The 21,897-nt window shown below is 57.0% G+C and overlaps 1 protein-coding gene across 1 annotated transcript in view, besides 2 other annotated features; it reads right to left on the bottom strand.

Moving 5' to 3' along the window:
- ZNF469 (zinc finger protein 469) overlaps positions 1 to 21,897 on the bottom strand; it is a 339,823-nt gene that overhangs the window by 100,475 nt on the left and 217,451 nt on the right. The gene's annotated exons all lie outside the window — the stretch shown is intronic.
- Positions 6,461 to 7,660: an enhancer, noted in NCBI's record as "P300/CBP strongly-dependent group 1 enhancer chr16:88366225-88367424 (GRCh37/hg19 assembly coordinates)". NCBI's record gives its function as "activates an origin of replication core promoter dependent on BRD2, BRD4, P300/CBP, MED14 and CDK7 cofactors, with strong dependence on P300/CBP, by STARR-seq in HCT116 cells {active_cell/tissue: HCT116}" and the evidence as "EXISTENCE:reporter gene assay evidence [ECO:0000049][PMID:35650434]".
- Positions 6,922 to 7,216: an enhancer, noted in NCBI's record as "tiled region #4027; HepG2 Activating DNase unmatched - State 10:DNaseD, and K562 Activating DNase matched - State 1:Tss". NCBI's record gives its function as "activates a minimal TATA promoter and a strong SV40 promoter by Sharpr-MPRA in HepG2 and K562 cells {active_cell/tissue: HepG2 | K562}" and the evidence as "EXISTENCE:reporter gene assay evidence [ECO:0000049][PMID:27701403]".

The raw sequence follows: 21,897 nt of genomic DNA, 5'->3' as shown, positions 1-21,897 counted from the left end.
GTGGCTCACTCCCACCTATGAGGTGCTCTGTGCCTGAACAACAGGCTCCCCCTGCTCTGCAGGTGAACTCCTTAAGCTGCCGTGCCGGCCTGGACTGCCGTGCAGGGGAGGCACCTCTGTGCCGGCTCAGCCATGTCGGCTGGGGTAGGAGGAGAAGGGGTGGTGAGGGGGCTGTTTGCTTGCTGACTCACTTTATAGAGAGGACTGGTGTCCGTGGCTCAGACCTGGCACTGCTCTTGCTTAAAAATATTGCACCTGTCCCCTGCATGCTCAGAAGATGACCAAGGTTTGTATCTTAGTAAAGAGGCCCGCCCACTCGCTCCCCTCTGCAGGGGTGGCCCGTCCCCAACACTGTGCCACCCCGTGAAGCACCTGGGCTTTGCCATGGCCAGGCCCCCTGCCACTCTGTCCCCTGACCTCCTGCCACCATGTTCCCCATCCCCCTGCCATCCTGCCCCCTCGTCCCCCTGCCACCATGTCCCCCCATCCCCCTGCCACCATGTCCCCCCGTCCCCCTGCCAGTCTGTCCCCCATCCCCCTGCCATCCTGTCTCCTCATCCCCTTGCCATGTCCCCCCTCCCTCTGCCATCCTGTCTCCCCATCCCTCTGCCATGTCCCCCATCCCCCTGCCACGTCCCCCATCCTCCTGCCACCATGTCCCCCATCCCCCTGCCACCATCCCCATCCCCCTGCCACTATGTCCTCCATCCCCCTGCCATCCTGTCCCCCATCCCCCTGCCATCCTGTCGCCATCCCCCTGCCACCATGTCCCCCATCTCCCTGCCACCATGTCCCCATCCCCCTGCCACCATGTCCCCATCCCCCTGCCACCATGTCCCCCTTCCCCTGCCACCATGTCCCCCGTCCCCCTGCCATCCTGTCCCCCATCCCCCTGCCACCATGTCCCCATCCCCCTGCCACCATGTTCCCCATCCCCCTGCCACCATGTCCCCCATCCCTCTGCTACCATGTCCCCCATCCCCCGCCATCCTGTCCCCCATTCCCCTGCCAGTCTGTCCCCCTGCCACCTGCTATCCTATCCCCTGCTATCCTATCCCCGATCACCCTGCCATCCTGTCCCCACATCCCCCTGCCACCCTGTCCCCATGTCCCCCGCCACCCTGTCCTCCCTGGCTCCCACTCTCGCTCCAGTGGCCCTCCTAGTTCTGGGAGTGCACCTGAGTGACTTCTCTGCTCAGGCAGGCACGCCCCCTCCAGGACGCAGCAGCCCTGGGGAGTCCAGCTCAGGCAGCCCTGCTGTGCAGTGAACGCACACTATCAAGTGTGATGTGGGTTCTCTGGGGCTTCCAGAACAAAGTGCCATAAACTGGGGAACTTCAAAAAGAGACAAATGTTCTCTCCATACAGAAGCCTGAAACCAAGGCGTTGCAGGGCCACGCTCCTCCTGAGGCTCCAGGAGGGTCCCTGCTGCCCCTCCCTGCTTCTGGGGGATGCTGGCTTCTGTGACGCTCTTGGCCTGTGGCCTGTGCCTGTATCGCCACAGCCTCCATCTCTGCTGTGGCCCTGCCCTTCCTCTGTGTGTCTGCCCATATCCCCCCTTCTGATAAGGACACCAGCCTGATCTCATCTTAACTAATTGCACCTGCAAAGGCCCTGTCTGTAAAGCAGGCCATGTTCACAGGTTGTGGGTGGACATGGGTTTGGGGGCAATGTTCACCCAGCAGAGGCCTCTGGCCTCCGTGTTTCTTCCTTGGTGACAGCACAAGATGGCTTGGGGGCTCTGTGGTTCTCAGGAGACAGTCTCTACAGACGGCCCAATACTTGTGCGGGGCAAACACACCCTGGGGGCGTGGAGCCTCAGTGCATCACCCGAGGCCACCTCTCCTCATCAAGTCGACCAGGGCACAGTGATGATCAGCCTGGAGAGTCAGGAGCCGGGGGTGGCCTGCAGGGTGCAGACTCCTCTCTTGCCGGGGCAGACATTGCTAATCAACCACAGAGCACTATCCCGCAGCCTGGACCCAGCTCAGGACCACCGCTGGGTACTGCACTACAGTCAGCAGCTCCCCACCCATGGGACCCCTGCCTTCCGGGAGCCAGAGGGTCTCTCCCCAGGCGATTGGAGGCGCCGGAGGGTCTCTCCCCAGGCGATTGGCAGCGCTGGAGGGTTGCATTGCGCATTAAGAGGAAGTTTGCCCATGGGCCATGGGATGTCTTGGGGCACTGTGAGAAAGCAAAGTTAGGAACCGCTGGCCAAGTGACAGCACTTTTCGTAGATGTGTCACCGAAAGCACAGCAACCAGAGGAAAAATAGAGAAAGTGGATCCTCATAAGCTAAAAACATTTGTGTTTCAAAGGACACCATTGAGAAAGTGAAAGGCAGGTCACAAAGCAGGAGAAAATTTTGGCAAACCGTCCATCTGAGAAGGGTTTAGCGTCCAGCATATACACAGAGCACGCACAACTCAACAACAAAAAGCCAGACAACCCCATTAAAGCAGAGGCCGTGTATCTGAGTGGGCTTCTCCAACGCACATGGAGAGATGCCTGACACCATCAGCCACCAGGGAAACGTGCGTCACAGCTGCGGCGAGCTGCCCCTGACGCCCGTGGGGTGGCCAGAACTAAAGATGTGCAGTGATGCTTGCTGCTGAGGATGCAGAGGACCAGAGTCCTCGTGCCTTGCAAATGGGGATGCAAAATGAGGAGCAGCCTGGCACTTCCTCAAAAAGACAATCAGAGAGTGACGCTGGGACCCTGTACCACTAGGTATAAACTCAGCAGAATTGAAAACACGTCCGTGCAAACACTTGGGTGTTGTATTAGTCCGTTCTCACACTGCTGATAAAGACATACCCGAGACTGGGTAATTTATAAAGGAAAGAGGTTTAATGCATTCAGTTCCACAGGGCTGAGGAGGCCTCACTATCATGGCGGAAGAGCAAGGGACATCTTACATGGCAGGAGGCAAGAGAGAGCTTGTGCAGGGGAGCTCCCCTATAAAACCATCAGATCTCATGAGACTTATTCACTGTCATGAGAACAGCATGGGAAAGGCCCGCCCCCATGATTCAGTTACCTCCTGCTGGGTCCTTCCTGCCACATGCGGGAATGGTGGGAGCCACCATTTAAGATGAGATTTGGTTGGGGACACAGCCAAACCATACCAGGTGTGAACGTTCATAGCGGCACTACTCACCATAGCCCCAGCGTGGAAATGGCCCAGATGCTGATCATTTGGTGAACGGTTAAACCATGACAGAATATACTTTTCAGCCACGAAGAGGAGTGAAACACTAGCACATGAAGCAACGTGGAGGAACCTTGAAAACACGGGGCCGAGTGGAAGAAGCCAGACACAAAGGGGCAAACACAGCATGATTCTGCTCACAGGAAATGCCCAGAAGAGCAGAGATGGTAGACTCGGGGTGGCCAGGGGCTGGGGGAACGGCAGGTGGTGAACTTCCATGGGTATGGGGTTTGTTTTGGGGATGATGACCTGTTCTGGAATGAGATAGTGGTGATGGTCGCATAACTTTGTGAATGCATGAAAAGCCACCGAATCGCACATGTGAAGGATGAGTCTGCGTGGTATTGGCGTGTCAGTGTCTCATGTGAAGGATGCATGTGTGTGGTATTGGCATGTCGGTGTCTCACGTGAAGGATGGACATATGTGCTGTTGGCACGTTAGTGTCTCACGTGAAGGATGAACATGTGTGGTGTTGGCATGTCAGTGTCTCACATGAAGGATGAACATGTGTGGTATTGGCACATCAGTGTCTCACGTGAAGGATGAACATGCGCGGTATTGGCATGTGTCTCATGTGAAGGATGAACGTGCGTGGTATTGGCATGTTAGTGTCTCACGTGAAGGATGAACGTGTGTGATGTTGGCATGTTAGTGTCTCACGTGAAGGATGAACATGTGTGATGTTGGCATGTTAGTGTCTCACGTGAAGGATGAACATGTGTGGTGTTGGCATGTTAGTGTCTCACGTGAAGGATGAATGTGTGTGGTATTGGCGCATCACTGTCTCACATGAAGGATGAACATGTGTGGTATTGGCGCATCAGTGTCTCACGTGAAGGATGAACGTGCGTGGTATTGGCGTGTTAGTGTCTCAAGTGAAGGATGAATGTGTGTGGTGTTGGCATGTTAGTGTCTCACGTGAAGGATGAACATGCGTGGTGTTGGCATGTTAGTGTCTCACGTGAAGGATGAACATGTGTGGTGTTGGCATGTTAGTGTCTCATGTGAAGGATGAACGTGTGTGGTATTGGCGCATCACTGTCTCACATGAAGGATGAACATGTGTGGTATTGGTGCATCAGTGTCTCACATGAAGGATGAACATGCGTGGCATTGGCATGTTAGTGTCTCACGAGAAGGATGAACGTGCATGGTATTGGCATGTTAGTGCCTCACGTGAAGGATGAATGTGTGTGGTATTGGCACATCAGTGTCTCACATGAAGGATGAACATGTGTGGTATTGGCGCATCAGTGTCTCACGTGAAGGACGAATGTGCGTGGTATTGGCATGTTAGTGTCTCACGTGAAGGATGAACATGCATGGTGTTGCTGCGTCAATGCCTCCATGTGAGTTTCTTTCTTTCATTGATTCGATGCTTATCGAGGCTCTCATTTCTCCTCCCATCAGGAGGCAGAGCTAATTCCCCTCCCAGGCATCTGCCTGGACTTGGCAATGCCTGAACAGTGGAGTGTGGCCAAAGTGAGGCCCTGTGGCTGGGTCATCAGAGGCCCCTCCAGACACTCACTTTGGGAGCCCTGAGGGGCCGAGGAGGGGGCCTGGCCACCCTGAGACCCCGTGCCAGAGTGGCCCTGTGGGGACGTTCCAGCTGTCTCGCCATGGCACCAGCTGCAGAAGTAAGGCCGCCCTGGAAGTTTTTGACCAGCCCAGCTGCCCACAGAGCACCCCGGAGTGGCCCTCATCCACACCATGTGGAGCGGAAGTGCATCCAGCCCTGCCTGCATTCCTGACGTGCATCCAGATATGTACTAACCAGGGAGTTAAGCTCTGAGTTTTGGGGTGGTGGAGAGCCTGGCCTGCATCTGACCCTACAGTTAAGCTCTGAGTTTTGGGGTGGTGGAGAGCCTGGCCTGGTTTCCTGGCAAACCTAGCAGCTTAGGGCAACAGACGTTCATCCTCTCACAGCCCCGGAGACTGCGAGTCCCAGATCAAGGCATGCGCAGGGCTGTGCTCCCTCCAAAGGCTCTGGTGGGTCCTCCCTGCCTCTTCCTGTGCCCAGTGGCTGCATGGCTCCCCTGTCCGTCTCCATCACACATGTGTCCTCCCGTTGGCATCTTCCCACACGGCTCCCCCTCCATCTCCATCACACATGTGTCCTTCCGTTGGCATCTTCCTTCACGGCTCCCACATCCATCTCTGTCACACATGTGTCGTTCCGTCGGCATCTTCCTTCACGGCTCCCACGTCCGTCTCTGTCACATGTGTCCTCCCGTCGGCATCTTCCCACACGGCTCCCTCATCTGTATCCATCACATGTGTGTCCTCCCGTCGGCATCTTCCCATCTCAGGCTCCCTTTTCCTTATGACGCTTTCATAGGATTTAGGCCCCACCCTGGTCCAGGACAACCTCATCTTGAGATCTTTAGTGCAATCATATCTGCCGACACCCTTATATGAAATAAGGCCACAGTCATCGGCTCCAGGTGGACATGAATTGGTCACAGTTTGACCTTTTGAACCTTCTGGGACAGATGAATCACTCCCGGCTCTGTGATGTGTGCACACCCTGGGTCATACAGGTTGAGTATCCCTAACCCAAAATGCCCCAGAACCCAAAATTGTTTGAGCTCTGACATGATGCTCTTGGGAAATGCTCCCTGGAGCATGTCTGATTTCAGATGCTGGGTCAGGGATGCTCAACTGGTCAGCGTAAGGCAAACATTCCCAAATGTGACAAAAATCAAAACCAAAACACTTCTGGTCCCGAGCGTTTCAGGTAAGATTGTTGTTGTTGTTTTTTACCATCCATCCCCAGAATTTTTTTCAAAGGGGGCATTCACAGGAGGCTTAGTCCAGCTTAGTCCAGCATCTCAACAAACCTGAAAAATTTCTTAACTCTTTGGTCTCTTAGGAAAGGGAGTGACATTTGTAACACAGAGCAAGACTTCCTTAGCTTCACGCCTGCCTCCCTTGGGCACACACACAGACACAGACACACAGACACAGACATACACATGCACATAGACACACACACACAGACACACACAGACACAGACACACAGAGACACACATGCACACACAGACACACACACACAAACACATAGACACAGACACACACAGATACACACAGATGCACACAGACACACATGCAGACACACAAACACATACACATGTAGACACACACAGACACACACAGATGCACAAAAACACACACACAGACACACAAACACACACACACACACTGCAACTGCCCCCACGTCCCCCCCACCCCCTGCCACGCAGCCGTCACTCTCCCTTGCTCAAGTGTGTGAAGTGCTCCGGTTCTTGGTGTGTTTTTATTCTCCTCGGGATCTTTACTACCAGCCCCACCTCGCGGGCCCGCATCCGTGGGAAGAATGAAAATGCCTTCCCTGGGCAGGCAGCCCCGGCCACACATGCAAAGACTTCCGTGCTCCTGCCTTCATGCCCCACCTTTGCATCTTTGCTGGAAGGAAATGTCTCCAAGTTGTAACTGTCGCTCAGTCACCCGTGGGCCCCTCTTCCATGACTCAGCAAGTCCGAGCCTTCTCCACCCATGGGCCCCTCTTCCGTGACTCAGCAAGTCCGAGCCTTCTCCACCCATGGGCCCCTCTTCCGTGACTCAGCAAGTCCGAGCCTTCTCCACCCATGGGCCCCTCTTCCGTGACTCAGCAAGTCCGAGCCTTCTCCACCCATGGGCCCCTCTTCCGTGACTCAGCAAGTCCGAGCCTTCTCCACCCATGGGCCCCTCTTCCGTGACTCAGCAAGTCCGAGCCTTCTCCACCCATGGGCCCCTCTTCCGTGACTCAGCAAGTCCGGAGCCTTCTCTCCCCTGGCCGTACCCACCGGCTTGGAGACCACACCTGGTTTCCCTCTGGGTGGGTGGAGGCTCTCAGGAAGCATCAAGCAGGGGACTCACGGATGGACGGTGGATGTGGGGACACTCGCTTTGCCCACAGAGGCCACAGCATGGGCAGTGGGCACATGATCCCAGCAGGCCTCCTCCCTCTAAGGTTTACCGCCAAATCACCAATGAGCAGCAGCACAAGGACCCACGGGGTGTGTCCTGGTGCCAGAGTGCACCTCTGGGTGCCACAGAGGCTGGGCAGGGACGTGGCTCCTGGGGACACAGCTCGGTGGCTCTGACAGGGGGGTGGGAAGGTCATGGGCTGGAAAGCAGCATGACTGGGTCTCCAGTGCCCAGACTCAAGGGGCAACCCGGGGCCTTGGTCTTCTCGTCTGTGAAACGGTGAGGAGGCTGGCTGCAGAGGCTGCTTGTGTGGAGTCTTGTGGGAAGGGTTTGCAGGCTGTGAGAGCCGGCCTGAGCAGTGGTGCTGGGGGCCCTCACCCTGTTCCCAGCAGCCCCCCCTCCCCCATCCTGCCCATCTCAACCCACGGGTTCTGGAGTCCCTTAGGGGAGGACTTGCTTTGTTGATTTTCATGGTGCCTTCCCTCTCCCTGCCTCACATGGCCTATGCCAGGTGGCTGCCTGCCAGAGGTGCACACAGAAAGGTTTATTCTTCTGGAATGGCCCAAACCTGCAAGTCAGATTCAGAGCCAAATTAGAACCCAGCATCCAGTGATGCTGCAAGGACCTTGCTCAAGGCCAGGGCCAGCGGCAAGGCTGTGCCCAAGCGTGGCGGTGCTCAGCACTGCCAGGAGAGCCGGCACAGAGGGGGCAGGGCACGCGGTGACGGCACATCATGGGTTCCCACGGGTGCTTCCAGGCCTCAGGCACCCGCGCCAGCTCCCCACACAGACGGTGTCATCCTCCTGCAATAAGCCACAGCATTCTTGGACGCTGTGCCGAAACCCGACCCGCTTAATACCTAATGGGGTAGTGCACTTGGAATGCTGATTTCCTATGAGTCATTTTCCATCCTCTGTCAAAAAATGCAACTTTGTTTATTTCTGAAAGATTCCTTCGGTGGCTTTACTGATGTCAACTAAACACCAAGGAGGGGGTGGAGAGAGACTCCCTGTCCCATCATGCCTGTCCTCAGGGCTGTGAGGAAAGCTATCTGCCAAAGGGGACTCGGGGGCTGCCAAGGGCCATGCGGAGACAGAGGGTCAAACCCAGCTCTGCTCTTGGCACAGTGGCCTTGGGCAAGTCACTGCCATGCCAGGCCTTCATATTCCTGTGAATGAGGAGGGGGCTACTCCTAAAGCCTGCATCCTGAGCTTCCAGGACTCATGGGTGTCTCCAGAAAAGGAAAAATGAATAATGATGACAACAATGGTGATGGTGGTGATGATGGTGATGATAGTGATGGTGGTGATGAGAATGATGATGGTGGTGATGATGATGGCGGTGGTAACAATAGTGATGATGATGATGGTGGTGATGATAGTGGTGATGGTGATGGTGACGATGGTGATGATGATGGTGGTGATGATGGTGATAATAGTGATGGTGGTGATGAAGATGATGATGGTGGTGATGATGATGGCGGTGGTAACAATAGTGATGATGATGATGGTGGTGATGATAGTGGTGATGGTGGTGGTGGTGGTGGTGGTGATGGTGATGACGATGGTGGTGATGGTGATGATAGTGATGGTAGTGATGAGGATGATGGTGGTGGTGATAACAATAGTGATGATGATGGTGATGATGGTGGTAGTGATGATGGTGGTGATTATGATGGTTATGATGGTGGTGTTGGTGGTGGTGATGGTGATGACGATGGTAGTGATGGTGATGGTGATATGATGATGATGATGGTGATGATGGTGGTGAGGAGGATGATGGTGGTGATGGTCATGGTAACAATGATGATAATGATGGTGATGGTGGTGATGGTGATGATGATGACTATGAAGGTGATGGTGATGGTGACGATGGTGATGGTGGTGATGGTGGTGGTGGTGACGGTTGTGATGGTGGTGGTGATGGTGACGACGGTGGTGATGGTAATGATGGTGATGATGGTAATAGTGATGGTGATGGTGATGGTGACGATGGTGATGGTGGTGGCGATGGTGACAATGGTGATAGTGGTGATGGTGGTGGTGGTCGTGATGGTTGTGATGGTGATGATGGTGATGATGGTGGTAATAGTGATGGCGATGGTGATGGTGACGATGGTGGTGATGGTGATGGTGGTGGCGATGGTGATGACTATGACAATGATGATGCAGCTGCTCAGTGTTTAGTGAGCACTTGCTGCATGCCAGGTGCTTTTGCAGACATGTTCTCAGTCTGCACAAACCATTTGCTGCACAGGGAATGTGTCTCCATTTTTGTGGATGAGGCTCATAGGACTGAAGGGGCAAGCCCAAGGTCACAGAGTGGCAAACAGGTAGCATGCGGCAGTGGCTGGCCTGTCACTCAGTGTGCAGCCTCAGCAGGAGAGATCATGGGAGGGCCAGGAGAGAAAACTTCTCCTTTCCCTGGGGGCAGAAGTCTCTCACCTCCTGTGCTGACTGAGGCAGGGGTGTGGGCCATGCCTCTGCCTCTACACGTGGCAAGCCAGACACAAGCTTCTTTCTTAGTCCCTCTGTCCATGAAGCGGAGGCCACAGTCTGGGCCAGTGAGAACCAAAGACATGCCAGGAAAACCACAACACGTCATTGTTTTGTGACTGTTGCTCACGCATGAGAACCACTGGGAATATGCGTGCTAAGGACGGTGTGGAGAAGCAAACCCACTCCGCTCTCAGGGTAGGAGCCTGAATGGGCATGACTTTTCAGAAGGCGTGGCTATGGCACCAATGCCCCACACATCATCACGGCAACGTGGAGTCCACTTCCAGGACCGTATCCGACAGTACACACAGCAGAAATGCTAGGAAGGGCCTTCGCATGTGCACACACATGCAGGACACCCACACAACACTCACAGGACGCCCACAGGATGCCACAGGTCCCGTGTGCAAGTGCATTCACAGGAAACAGCCACAGCATAAGTGCCCATTGCCTAGGGGTGATGACAGCATCATTGCATGTCCCTAAATGAGAAACGCTCTAACCGAAAGTCAGAAGGCCAAGTCCAACGCTGACCTCCCTCTGCCTCTGAGGCTTTGCCTATGCCTGGCATTTCATGTGGATGGCATCAGGCTGGATGTGGCCTTTTGTGACTGGCTGCTTCCACTCTGCCTGTACCCAGGCACCCTGTGCCCAGAGTGCATCAGACTACGTTCCTTTGGGTGCCTGGATGATGCCACGCCTGTGGGCGCCCGTGGTGCTTGTCCGTCCCTCACCGGATGGCCTGAGGGCTGAGGCCATCTCTGCTCTGGTGGGTGAGGCCTTGTGAAGGCGTCTGCATCCCAGGAAAGGTTTCAGCTTGTTCTCACCTTGGGGTTGCTGCCCCCAACCCCATGTTTTCAGCACAAATGTTGTTAAGAACTTTTCCCTTGACCCCCGTCCCCTTTCCCCTGGAACAGCTGAAAGACTAATGTTTTCAATGAGGACCAATTCCCTGTCAGTGTGACCAACTTCCCAGTCTCTTGGGGACCGAAGCGCTCCCAGGATTTGGGGCCTTCAGGGGCAGAAGTGGCTGGCAGAGGTGCTAGCCCTCGCCTCTGAGAAGGGAGCCCCTCTGGGGAATCTGGGGAGCTCCCACCTGTGTTTCATCCTCACCCTTCTGACTCAGGCCCTCAGAGGGCCAGCGGGAGGCAGCCCCCAGCCCCTGCTTGGCTGTGGTATGAGGTGAGACCCCTGGAGGGGGCTTCCGCTAGGCAGCGATGTGCGGTTGGTGGGAGGAATTAAATCACGTCTCACACACCCTCCCTTATCGGCTAGCTGTGTCCACATCTGGATCAATACTAACCCAGGCCTTTCCTTCCAACGGGGCTTCTCCGTGTTCTCAGAAGATGAAGAAGCAGCAAACACACTGGCTGGGCTCCCTCCCTGGAGCCCCTTCACCACCTGCCCAGTCACGGACAGCAGCGGCCGTGTTACTCCCCAGCTCATGAACCTTCTGTGGCTCCCTGTTGTTGACAGTGAGGGTCGACACACAGACCCCGGATACCACTGCCAGAGCTCCCGGTCAGCACATCATGGGTCGGATACAGGAACTTGCACTTTTATAAAAACTGCAGGAAATATGGAGGCAGGTGGTCTCTGGGTTTTCTTTGAAGGACTCCGGCTGCGGGTGAACGTCGGGACCCCGTGGAGAACATTTAGGGCCCTGACCCTTCTTGCTGATTCGGTTTGACTCTGCTCCCTCCTCGGCCTCCTCCGCTTCCTCCTCGGCCTCCTCTGCTGTGGCCAAACTGCGTCTCCCCCACCCGCCTGCCCCAGCTGTTTTCTCTGGACACCTGGAATCCTCTCTGGTTCCTGTGTGGTGCTCACTGTGTGGGAAGCAGCCCTCCCTAGACTGGGCGCCTCTGTTGCTCACACCGCACCCTCTCCCATTGCACTCAGCTGTGTGTGCACATCCCAGCCCCCCGGCTGGAACGCTTGAGGGTTGTATCTGATTTCTTCTGGTTTTCCTTGTCTGGTGCATTTTGGGAGCCAGGGATGGAGGAGATCAGTGCGTTGGAGAAGAACCCGGGCCCTGGACCCCACAAAGATCCATGTCAGGCCAGGTGCATCGGATCAGCTTCCCCACAGAGCACACACTGATGGTGTCTTGCACTGGGGCCGTGGCGTTTCAGGTCCAGCAGCAGAGCTTCGACGGTAGCCATGCGGCCAGGCCCCGGCTGAGAACTGCCATGGCGTTTTCCTGGGGAACCTCCCTGGAGGTTGTGAAGAAGGCACTGCTATCATTCCCATCACACAGGTAAGGAAGTGCAGGCTGGGAGCCGTCATATGGTTCAGCCAAGGTCACACAGTCAGCAGCAGAGTGAGAATTTTGTTCCTCTACAGGCATTTTAAATACACCTTTAAGGCAGAATACAGTACACGTGCAGAAAGCACCAAGACTGAAGTGTCCGGCCTGGCCCATGACATAGCGTGCGTCTGCCTGCACAGCAGCCCCGGGCGAGAAGCACAGACTCGGCAGCTCCTCCTTCCCTGGGACCTGCGGATTCCTCGACCTCATCCCAGCTTTAGGACCGTGGCTCCCATGGCGTGTGCCCTTCTGTGTCTGTGGGAGTCGCCGTGTGTGCCGGGAGCTGCTGCTCTCCTGCCTGGGCAGCAGCATGGGTCGTGCATTCCCCATTGGCTGGGACAGCAGGTGGGTGTGCAGCCGTGATGGAGCCCGGCCGTGAAAGTGTTTCTGGTAGACAATCTCACGTTTCTGGTTTCTGCTCTGCTGGGTGTGTTTCCGGTGGGTGTGTGGGCCCCAGCTGAACTCGGGATCCGGCCGGTTTTCTCAAGCAGCCGGGCCTAGTCAGCTCCGACCACACTGCGGCCTCTCCAGCTCCTTCCGGATGACACCTGTGGTGCGGGGTCTAAGCATGGAGCCCAGGCTGCCCTGTCAGTGCTCAGTGAGTGTGCACGGAAGGTGGGAGGGGAGAGGGCGGTGGAGGAGCGGAGAGGAGGGAGGAACAAGGAGGTGGCCCTGGAAGCACTCAGCCCTGAGGTACGGAGCACGTGCCCTGTCCTGCTGCCGGTGACGCAGCCCACCGTGAGCACAGACCCCCCCCCAACCCCAACGTGATATGTTGAGGATGGCACAGGCCTGGCCCCTAGCTGGCCCTGGGAACCGCAGATGAGAACATTTCAGCACCCACACCATGCTTACGCCCTGGGATGGGGCTGCCTACCCGCTTCACAGGATGTGGCCTGCAGCCCACCTCGTCCAGGGAAGCAGGTGAAGGTGCATCTACCAAAGCCAGGTGGCAGGGGTGCTGCACAAAGGAGAGGCGAGGCCGGGAGGACCAGCGTGGCGAGGCGGGGGCTGGCGTGAGGCTGAGTGGATGGAGAGGCAGACCCAGAGAACCAGTGCCGGGGAGGCAGGGGCTGGTGTGAGAAGCCCCAGTGGTGCAGGCCACAGGGTCCCACAGGCTCTGGAGAGGCGGCCACCCGGGGCCTGGACCTTGTGCCAGTACGAGGGACACTATTTGGGATGGGGGATGGCCCCACTCCTGGGGTCCAGAGTGGCGCTTCTCCTGAGGTCCCACAGCAGATGCTGAGGACAGACCAAGGACATCAGGACCCTCCGCCCATCAGAGAGGCGGGGCCGCCCTGACCCAGGAGACAGCTCAAACCAAAGACAGACAGACAGGAGGGAGAGCGACGGGGAGGGAGACAGGGACACAGGCCGAGAGAGGTGGGGGTGCTGCTCCTGGGCCCCGCTGCCAGGTGGGCATTGGGTACTCTGCCCAGTTTTCAAGAAAATGAAGTGCAGACAAGGCAGCCATGGCTGAGTCAGGAAAGAGCGGGGGGGTCAGGACCGGCCCGAGTGCTGCCCTGGCCAGGGAAGGCCTGGGTGTCACCCTCTGATCTGGGATTGTTCTGGAAGGTCTCTAAGGTGCTTTCACAGCGGGGGTCCCATGAGTCAGTGACGTTAAAGCAAACACCCCAAACCCGAGGCCTCCATGTGAGTGCCTGCGTCAGGCACTCTGGTCCTGACCTCCATGTGAGGTGGCTGGAGGGTGGTCCCTGGGAAACATGCGGTGTCCTGCCCAGCAGTGTCACTGCCCTGGGCCTTGGGTGCTTTAATAAAGTGGTTCTGGATGTCCCCGAGGCCCAGGAGCAGCAGAAGCTGCAGTCCCTGGAGAGTGTCTCGAAGTGTATTAGACCATTTTCATGCTGCTGATAAAGACATACCTGAGATTGGGCAACTTACAAAAGAAAGAGGTTTAATGGACTTACAGTTCCACGTGGCTGGGGAGACCTCACAATCATGGCAGAAGGTAAGGAGGAGCAGGTCACTTCTTAAATGGATGGCAGCAGGCAAAAAGAATGAGTTTGTGCAGAGAAACTCTCATTTTTAAAACCATCAGATCTCATGAGGCTTATTCACTATCACGAGAACAGCATGGAAAGAGCCACCCCCGTAATTCAATTACCTCCCACTGGGTCCCCTCCCACAACATGTGGGAATTCAAGATGAGATTTGGGTGGGGACACAGCCAAACCATATCACAAAGGCTCTGAGACCAGGACATGTCTGTGGCCCATTGCTGGGGCCTCTGGGTTGGCAGCCCCTCCTCTCTGCCTACAGGATCACACTGGCTGGGAGTGGGGAGGGGGCGCAATCACAGGCACAGTGGCCACCCCTGGACTGACTGACAGGTGTTGTTAGCTCTATTGCTCACAGTGTACAGCTGAGGAAGCTGAGGCTAGAGAGGAAGTGGCGTCCTTCAGGTCTAAGGGGGCAGAGCACCGATCCTTCTGCCCTGCAGCCCCATCTGGGATGCGTGGAAGAAAGGAAGGAGGAAAGGGAGGAAGGAAGGAGAAAGAGGGGAAGGAAGGACCAGGGTAGCCGTCACACGGAGCATTTGAGTGGCAAGGCCCTGTCTGTCCTGGCCCCACTGCAGACTTTTGGGGTGACATTGAACAAGTCACTTTCCCTTAGGGGGTCTCACAGGCCACAAATTGCATGAGGGATGGGACCAGGAGCCCTAAGTGGCAGAGGCCCTTCCAGCTCTACCACCCTGGGACACTGTGTCCTGGTGTGGGTATCAGTGTCATTTCTGGCCATGCTGGGCTTGGCGCCACCACACATAGTGCCCCTGGCTGCAGTGGTGGGGCCACGCCTATCACTGACCTGTGTCCTCCGGGTCCCCTGGGCAGGGTACTCAGCGGCTGCCCCGCCTTCAGGCATGAATTGGGAAGAGTGATGCTCTGGGTGGAAATTGTGCCTCTCCCACTGTGACCCTGATGGTTGCCCCAGAAGCTGGCCACCAATTGTGCAGTCTGGTGGGTGTCCTGGGTCTGAGCCCCTGCGGCCCCCCGGGGTGCACCTCGGGCAGCTTACGGAGCCTGTAGGGACCACCTGGAGTGTGCCGGTGAGGACTTGAGGCCCTGTGTATGTCACAGCTGCTGTCGCGACCACCTGGAGTGTGCAGGTGAGGACTTGAGGCCCTGTGTATGTCGCAGCTGCTGTCGGGACCACCTGGAGTGTGCAGGTGAGGACTTGAGACCCTGAGTATGCCGCAGCTGGATGTGATCTCAACCAGAAGCTGCTGGAAGGATATTTCCCAAGGGCACCTCCTCCCTCTCTCTTTTCCTCCTGCTCCCACTGGCTGAAGTGCTGGATCCCCCTTCACCTTCCACCATGACTGTAAGTTTCCTGAGGCCTCCCCAGAAGCAGAAGCTACCATGCTTCCTGTACGGCCTACAGAACTGTGAGCCAACCCTCTTTTCTTTATAAATTGCCCAGTATCAAGTATTTCTCTATAGCAGTGCAAGAACAGACTAACACAGCTTCCTCCAGCTGCCCCCTCTGCCCATCAGCATAAGACACACCCACCGGCACCATGACAGTTTACAAACGCAATGGCAACATCTGGAAGGTGCCGCCCCCTTTCTAGAGATTTCTGAATAACCTTCCCCTTAATTCGCACATACTTAAAAGTGGGTATAAAAACAGCTACAGTCCCTTATGCACTCACCCTGGCGCACTCCCTGTGGGTTAGCCCTGCTCTGCAAGGAGCAGCAACTCTCTGTACACGGCCGCTTAAGTAAACCTGCCTTCCACCACCAGCTGGCTTTCAAATTCTTTCCTGAGTGAAGCCAAGAACCCTCCCGGGCTGAGCCCTGGTTCTGGGACTCTCTGCATCACAGCCATAGGAGAGGACAGCACTGAGGCCTGGCCACACGTGTGTTCACACCTGAGAGCTCTGGGGAGGTCAACATCCCAGACGGCACAGCTGTGACACAACAGCCCCCCACATCCTTCCACCCACCTCCCATAAGGGGTGTGTGTGGGGGTCTGCGTCTCTGCCTTTGAATCTGGACCTTTTTACTTCTTGGCCAAAACAGAATGCTGCAGAAGTATTGCTCAGAAAATTTCAGGGCTGGCGGTCCGAAACTGACAGCCTCTACTTCCTGCCTCTTGGGACCCAGCCCTCATGCTGTGAGGAAGCCCAAGTAGCCCCGAACAGGCCCCGTGGGGAGGCGCTGACCACAGGCCCCTGGCCAGCCATGTGGTGTGCCATTTTTGCGGCGGATCTCACCCCAGCCCAGCTGCTCCAGCTGAAGCCTGTGTCACTGAGGTGAGCTGCTGCCCGCAGGCCCTGACAACCATTGATTTGTGAGCAAAATAAGTAACTCTGCTTGGTTTTAGCCACTAAGTTCTGGGGTGATTGTTCTACCATGGTAGGGAACTGGGAGGGGTGAAATGGTGGGCACCCCCACGTGCCTCCTCCGAGTCTCCCTGTCACCATCTGTAGGATGGACACACAACACCCTTTTGCAGGGGGATGGGGGCACGGAGTGGGAGACTGCACAGCTGCGGTCTGGCATGTGCCAGGGGCAGAGTGGGCCCCTGGTCTGTGGGACCACGGCCATTACCGGTCATGGGCAACACTGGGTGTGGGAGTCCCCCTGCCCACTTCTGCCACTCAGTGGCAGCCCCCCCAATACCTCTACACTGTCCACCAGAAAGTGGGGGTCAGGGAGATCCTGGCTTTGCCAAGAGGAAGCCTGGCTGCCCAGGCCTTCCCACAGGGTCCTGAGGCTCTTGGGACCATTTCCAATAGTGAGGCCTCCCTCCCATGCCCAGGGCCCTCTCACCCCACAGAGATTTCGCCAGGGCCTGTCCTGGGGCCTTTGCTGCTGAGTGATGTCAGAAGTGATCAAAACACAAATGCTACAGAGAAGTGGGAAGGAAGAAGGTGGTTTCTGGCATTAGAGTTTGCTAGGTAAGCAGCCATCATCTTGGCAGCTGTATGTGGCCCTGTCAGGACAGGTCTGTGGCCCTGTAATCCACTGAGCGGCCTGCGAGGGTGTCAGGGCCTGGGACACGTGTCCCCAGCCTCCCAGGGGCATGGCACTGCACCACCAAGGCCTCCGGGGCCCCTCCTCGGAGCTCTGCAGAGCCTGGGGCAGACTGCGTGGCAGAAGGCAGGGTGGCCACCGAGCCTGGCTCCTGACTGCACAACATGGGCACCCAGGGAACGGCAGCTCTAATCCATGATGTGGGATCACTGCCCCCACTTTACAGACGAGGGGAACTGAGGCTCATGTGCCATCCACACTGTCCACAGGTAATAACAGCTAACAACTTCCAGATGGCCGTGGCTGGGTGGCATGAGTACTGACAGCGTTGTAAGCATGCCGTTCTCCAATCTTGGGAGAGACAGGAGGAGCCGAGAGCTGTCATCCTCTCCGCTTTCCTGAGCTCGTCTCCTTGCCTCCGACAGTCACAGGCCTGCCCAAAGTCTCCTGGGCTGGGCTCACATTTGAACCTGGCCCCCAAGTCCTGGGCCAAGTCCATTCGATGGTTCCCCCATCCCACGGATTCTCCTGAAGGTGGGTGGGCACGGGGAGGGCCTGGAGTGGTTATTCGGCAACCTTCATGCATTTCCTGATGCAGCCTAGAGCTCAAGGCAAGGGCGACCCCTGACTGAGTCCTGGAGTCCGTGGGATGGAGGGGTCGCTCGGGTCCCACACAGTCTCCGAGGAGTGGTGGTGCCGCCTGCTCTGGCACAAACCCTCCTCGTCAGTCACACCCCCTCCAGCATCACCGGACTTGCCGTAGCTCCCGCCATCTGTGCTGGAGCCATGAGATACGGTTTGATCAGAGCATACTGCAGTTGGCTCCCCACTGCCATGGGTGGCTGCGGCTGTGGAGCTTCAGGATGAACACGGCCGGGACACTGACGTGACAGGCAGGGCGGGGCTCCCGAGACCGCGAGAGCAGGTGCAGGAGCCATTGCCTCCCAGCCTCGCAGCCGCCTCCCATGTGATGGGTCCAGGTACTGGCAGAGCTGGCTCCTCCCAGAGCGGCCGTGGGGCCTCAGGTGAGTTCCGATTCACCTGGCCTCCGATTTCCTGGGGACTGTGTGGGGCACAGGTTTGGGTGAAAAGCGCCCCCGGCTCTGACACGCTGGGCTCTGAGTCCATCGGAGGCTGGGAGAAGATGCCGAGGCCGCGGGGAGGGTCGGAGCAGCCCAGGCGGCACCTCCTGCCGTGGCTCCATGATGCTGTAGCCTGCAGCCCGCCCAGCTCGTCCAGGCCCACAGGGACCATTTCCAATAGTGAGGCCTCTCTCTCATGCCCAGGGCCCTCTCATCCCACAGAGATCTCGCCAGGGCCTGTCCTAGGGTCTTTGCTGTTGAGTGATGTCAGAAGCGGTGCAGCATCCTGTGGCCACTGAGCCCTGGGTTCCATCCCACCTGTCTGGGTGTTGCCAAGAAGGCATTTGGGGGAGGCACTGGCCTTGGCCATCAGCTGACCTTAAGTGAAGCAGATCATGCTCCGGATGGCGGTGGCTGCATCTAATCAGGTGAGGCCTTACCAACAGAATCCGAGGGCTGCATCCAAACAGGTGAGGCCTCATGTGCAGAAGCCAAGGGTCATGTCCAATCAGATGAGGTCTTACATGCAGAATCTGAGGCCACACCAATCAGGTGAGGCCTTATGAGCAGAATCCGAGGGTCACATCCAATCAGATGAGGTCTTACATGCAGAATCTGAGGCCACACCAATCAGGTAAGGCCTTATGAGCAGAATCCGAGGGCCACATCAAATAAGGTGAGGCCTTACATGCAGAATTCGAGGGCTGCATCCAATCAGGTGAGGCCTGACATGCAGACTCTGAGAGCCATATCCAATCAGGTGAGGCCTAACACAGCAGCCAAGGGCCACATCCAATCAGGTGAGGCCTTATGAGCAGATGCCAAGGGCTGCATCCAGTCAGGTGAGGCCTTACATGCAGAATTTGAAGACTGCATCCAATCAGGCAAGGCCTTACGGGCAAAAACCAAGGTTTCCCTGGGATGGTGGATTCTGCCTGAAGGCTGCAGCATCAGCTCCTGCCTGGGTTTCCAGCCTGCCCTACGGATTTCAGACTTGCCCCAGCAAGATCCCGAGGGGGAAACCCAAGGTGGGGGGCACCCCAGGACCTTCCCCTTGGCGCCTCGCCCAGGACAGCCTGGACAGGAGGAGCTTGGTCCCTGCGGCATCCCCGGGCCAGGCTGGGCCGCTCTGCAGCCTGGTCAACCTGGGACCGACTGGCTGAGGAAGGCCCTCACGTCCCCACCCTGACCCCAACATTTCATACTGAAAGGCAGCCTCGGATGGCAGCCACGGTGTCTCATTCGCCTGTTCATCTATCCATTCACTCATTCATTCATTCCCGAGCACTGGACACTGCATCTGCGTCCTGAACTCCTCCCACTTGCAGAGTCTGAGGGGGCAGCTCACACCCTCTGTGGACTCGTGTTGGGCGTGTGCTGGGTGGGTTCGGCATTGACTGGCTGGTTAACCACTGGGGGTTGTTTTGTTGTTTTTCTAAAGACCAGCAATGAGACTACATGGACATAAGTGCAGGAGGCTGTTGCGGGTCTCCAGCTGACGTGTTCAAGTTCAAGACCAACATACCTGTCAATAATCTCATGGTCAGGCTGGGCATGGTGGCTCACACCTGTAATCCCAGCACTTTGTGAGGCAAAGGTGGGCAGATCACTTGAGGTCAGGAGTTCAAGTCCAGCCTGGCCAACGTAGTAAAACCCAGTCTCTACTAAAAATACAAAAACTAGCCAGATATGGTGGTGGGCGCCTGTAATCCGGGCTACTCTGGAGGCTGAGGCAGAAGAATTGCTTGAACCTGTGAGGCAGAGGTTGCAGTGAGCTCACATCATGCCATTGCACTCCAGCCTGGGCGACAGAGCAAGATTCTGTCTCCGAGAAAAAAGAAAAAAGAATAAAGAATCTCGTGGTCAGCCTTTAAGAAATGCTGATGAAGACGCAAGGCCTCACTGTTAACAATAATTATTACCATTAGAGTAAACGCAGGCTTCCCATCATGAGGGCAGTGTAATCAGCAGGAACATTCTGAAGATGACATTTAAAACCCCGAGTCTCCCTAGGATTATATAAATTGGGTGGAATTATCACTTAGTAAACACGTGCAAGGCACTCAGCCTGTTTAACTTCTGCCACGGCAAGCAGCTTCCCCCGTGCTCTGTAAATGTCCCACCTGCTTTTGAATGGCTGCATAATGCTCCATGAGTGGAGGCCTGGCCATGCTTTGAATTATCCCCCGCTGTTGGACATTTGGGGGGTGCCTGTTATCATGGCCTGTGTGGCGAGGAGTCAGGCTTCAGGCCGGGGAGATGCCAGATGGGAGGAAACCCTCACTGACCCCACATGAGGGTCAGGAGCCCACCATTCTGGCTTTGGAGACTGGAGAAAACCTTTCCTTGGAAGATAGGGGCCTGAGGCCCAGCTCCTCACCCAGCAGCTTGGTCTCCACCAGAGTCAGGGTCCCACCTGTAGGGCAGGGGAGTCCTCTAGCTGCGAAGCTGGGCTGCAGGGAGGCCTGGGGGCCGGCTCCTGACCACTCAGCGTGTCCTGTTATTCTCCCTGCAGCATCCACAAACCCAAGGCGTCGAGTTTGCACGACCCACAGACGGGGCTTCCTAGGGAGGGCTGGAAATGGTGGATGGGGAGGAGAAGGGTGGCAGGGAGCCAAGGGGGCTACCTGAGGCCCTAGGAGGGCAGCCTGGGGAGTGGCCCCGCTGCTTCCCCTCTGAGAGGCGCTGCACATGGAAAAGGGATCATTGGCAGGACCCGGGCGCATCAGCAGGGCCTGTGCTCACTCTGTTCAGGAGGGCCCCCACCTTCCGAGGCCTCGGACTGCCTCCTCCTCCCTGGGGGAGCAGCCCCCTCCTCCCGGGGCCCAATCCTTGCACCTCCTGTGTGGCTCCGCCCAAGAAAGTCTCCTGGCCCTGCAGACGAGGAGCCCCCTTCGGCTCAGTCAGGGGCCTGAGTGCATTTGTTTAGGCGACACTGGTGAGGAAGAACCTCAGAAAGGCAGGTGTCCAGGTCTCGGCCACCTGCAAGGCCCCCTCGGAGGTGAGGCCAAGGGGGACAGTGTGGGCAGCCAGACACCCAGACCCTCTTCCATCTGTCTGTGAGGAGCCCGAACCCCAAATCCAGAATCCGCAGGACAGTGGCCGGTCATGGGAAGGCATGCATCGGAAGCCTGAGGCAGAGTCCCATCCTGCCCCAGCCTGGTGGCCAAGGCCCTCTTGACCCCAGCTGGCAATACAAAATGACCTGCTAGGAAAGCCCTGGGGTGCCCCGTCTGGTCCTGACCCCCAGGTAATGAGACTTTTGGGCTCCCAAACAAAAGCAAGTTTATCTCTGGGTGTCATACAGCTGACATCTGAAGATGCTGCTGCCCTGGTGAGGACGGTCACCACGTGAGGGCCAAGCTGTTTGCATGATGGCCGTCTGGACGCTGGGGCTTCTCCCCCTTGCACGCGCTGTTCGGGATTTGGCAGTGGTCCTTCTGCACAGACTCCCTCCCTCGCATGCTTTCCAAGGGAGCATCCCCTCCTCCGAGCTCCAAGATCTCAGACTCCTCCCTTGGCAGAGCAGCCAGCCGTGGCTGAGCTCTGTCCTCTCCCCACGGCACAGGCCAGGGAGGGAGGCAGCCCAGGTGTGGGACACGCCAGGAGTTCTTACTTCATGAGCAACAGAACCCAGAAAATGGTCCCCTTCTTGATCCCCCACCCCACTCCTGCCCTTGGCAGGCAGGGGCCACCGCGTCTCCCTGACTTGCTAAAGGGCTGGGGGGAGAATTGCCTGATCCTGAGATGCAGCTGGGGCAGAGGACACCGCCAGCTCCTCCCCTGATCCTGAGATGCAGCTGGGGCAGAGGACACCGCTGGCTCTTCCCCGCTTACCGAATGGGCAC

This window comes from Homo sapiens, chromosome 16 (genome assembly GCF_000001405.40).
Source record: "Homo sapiens chromosome 16, GRCh38.p14 Primary Assembly".
Lineage (NCBI taxonomy): Eukaryota > Metazoa > Chordata > Mammalia > Primates > Hominidae > Homo > Homo sapiens.
Note: the sequence above shows the minus strand (reverse complement) of the source record. Positions and strands in the feature narration are given on the sequence as shown.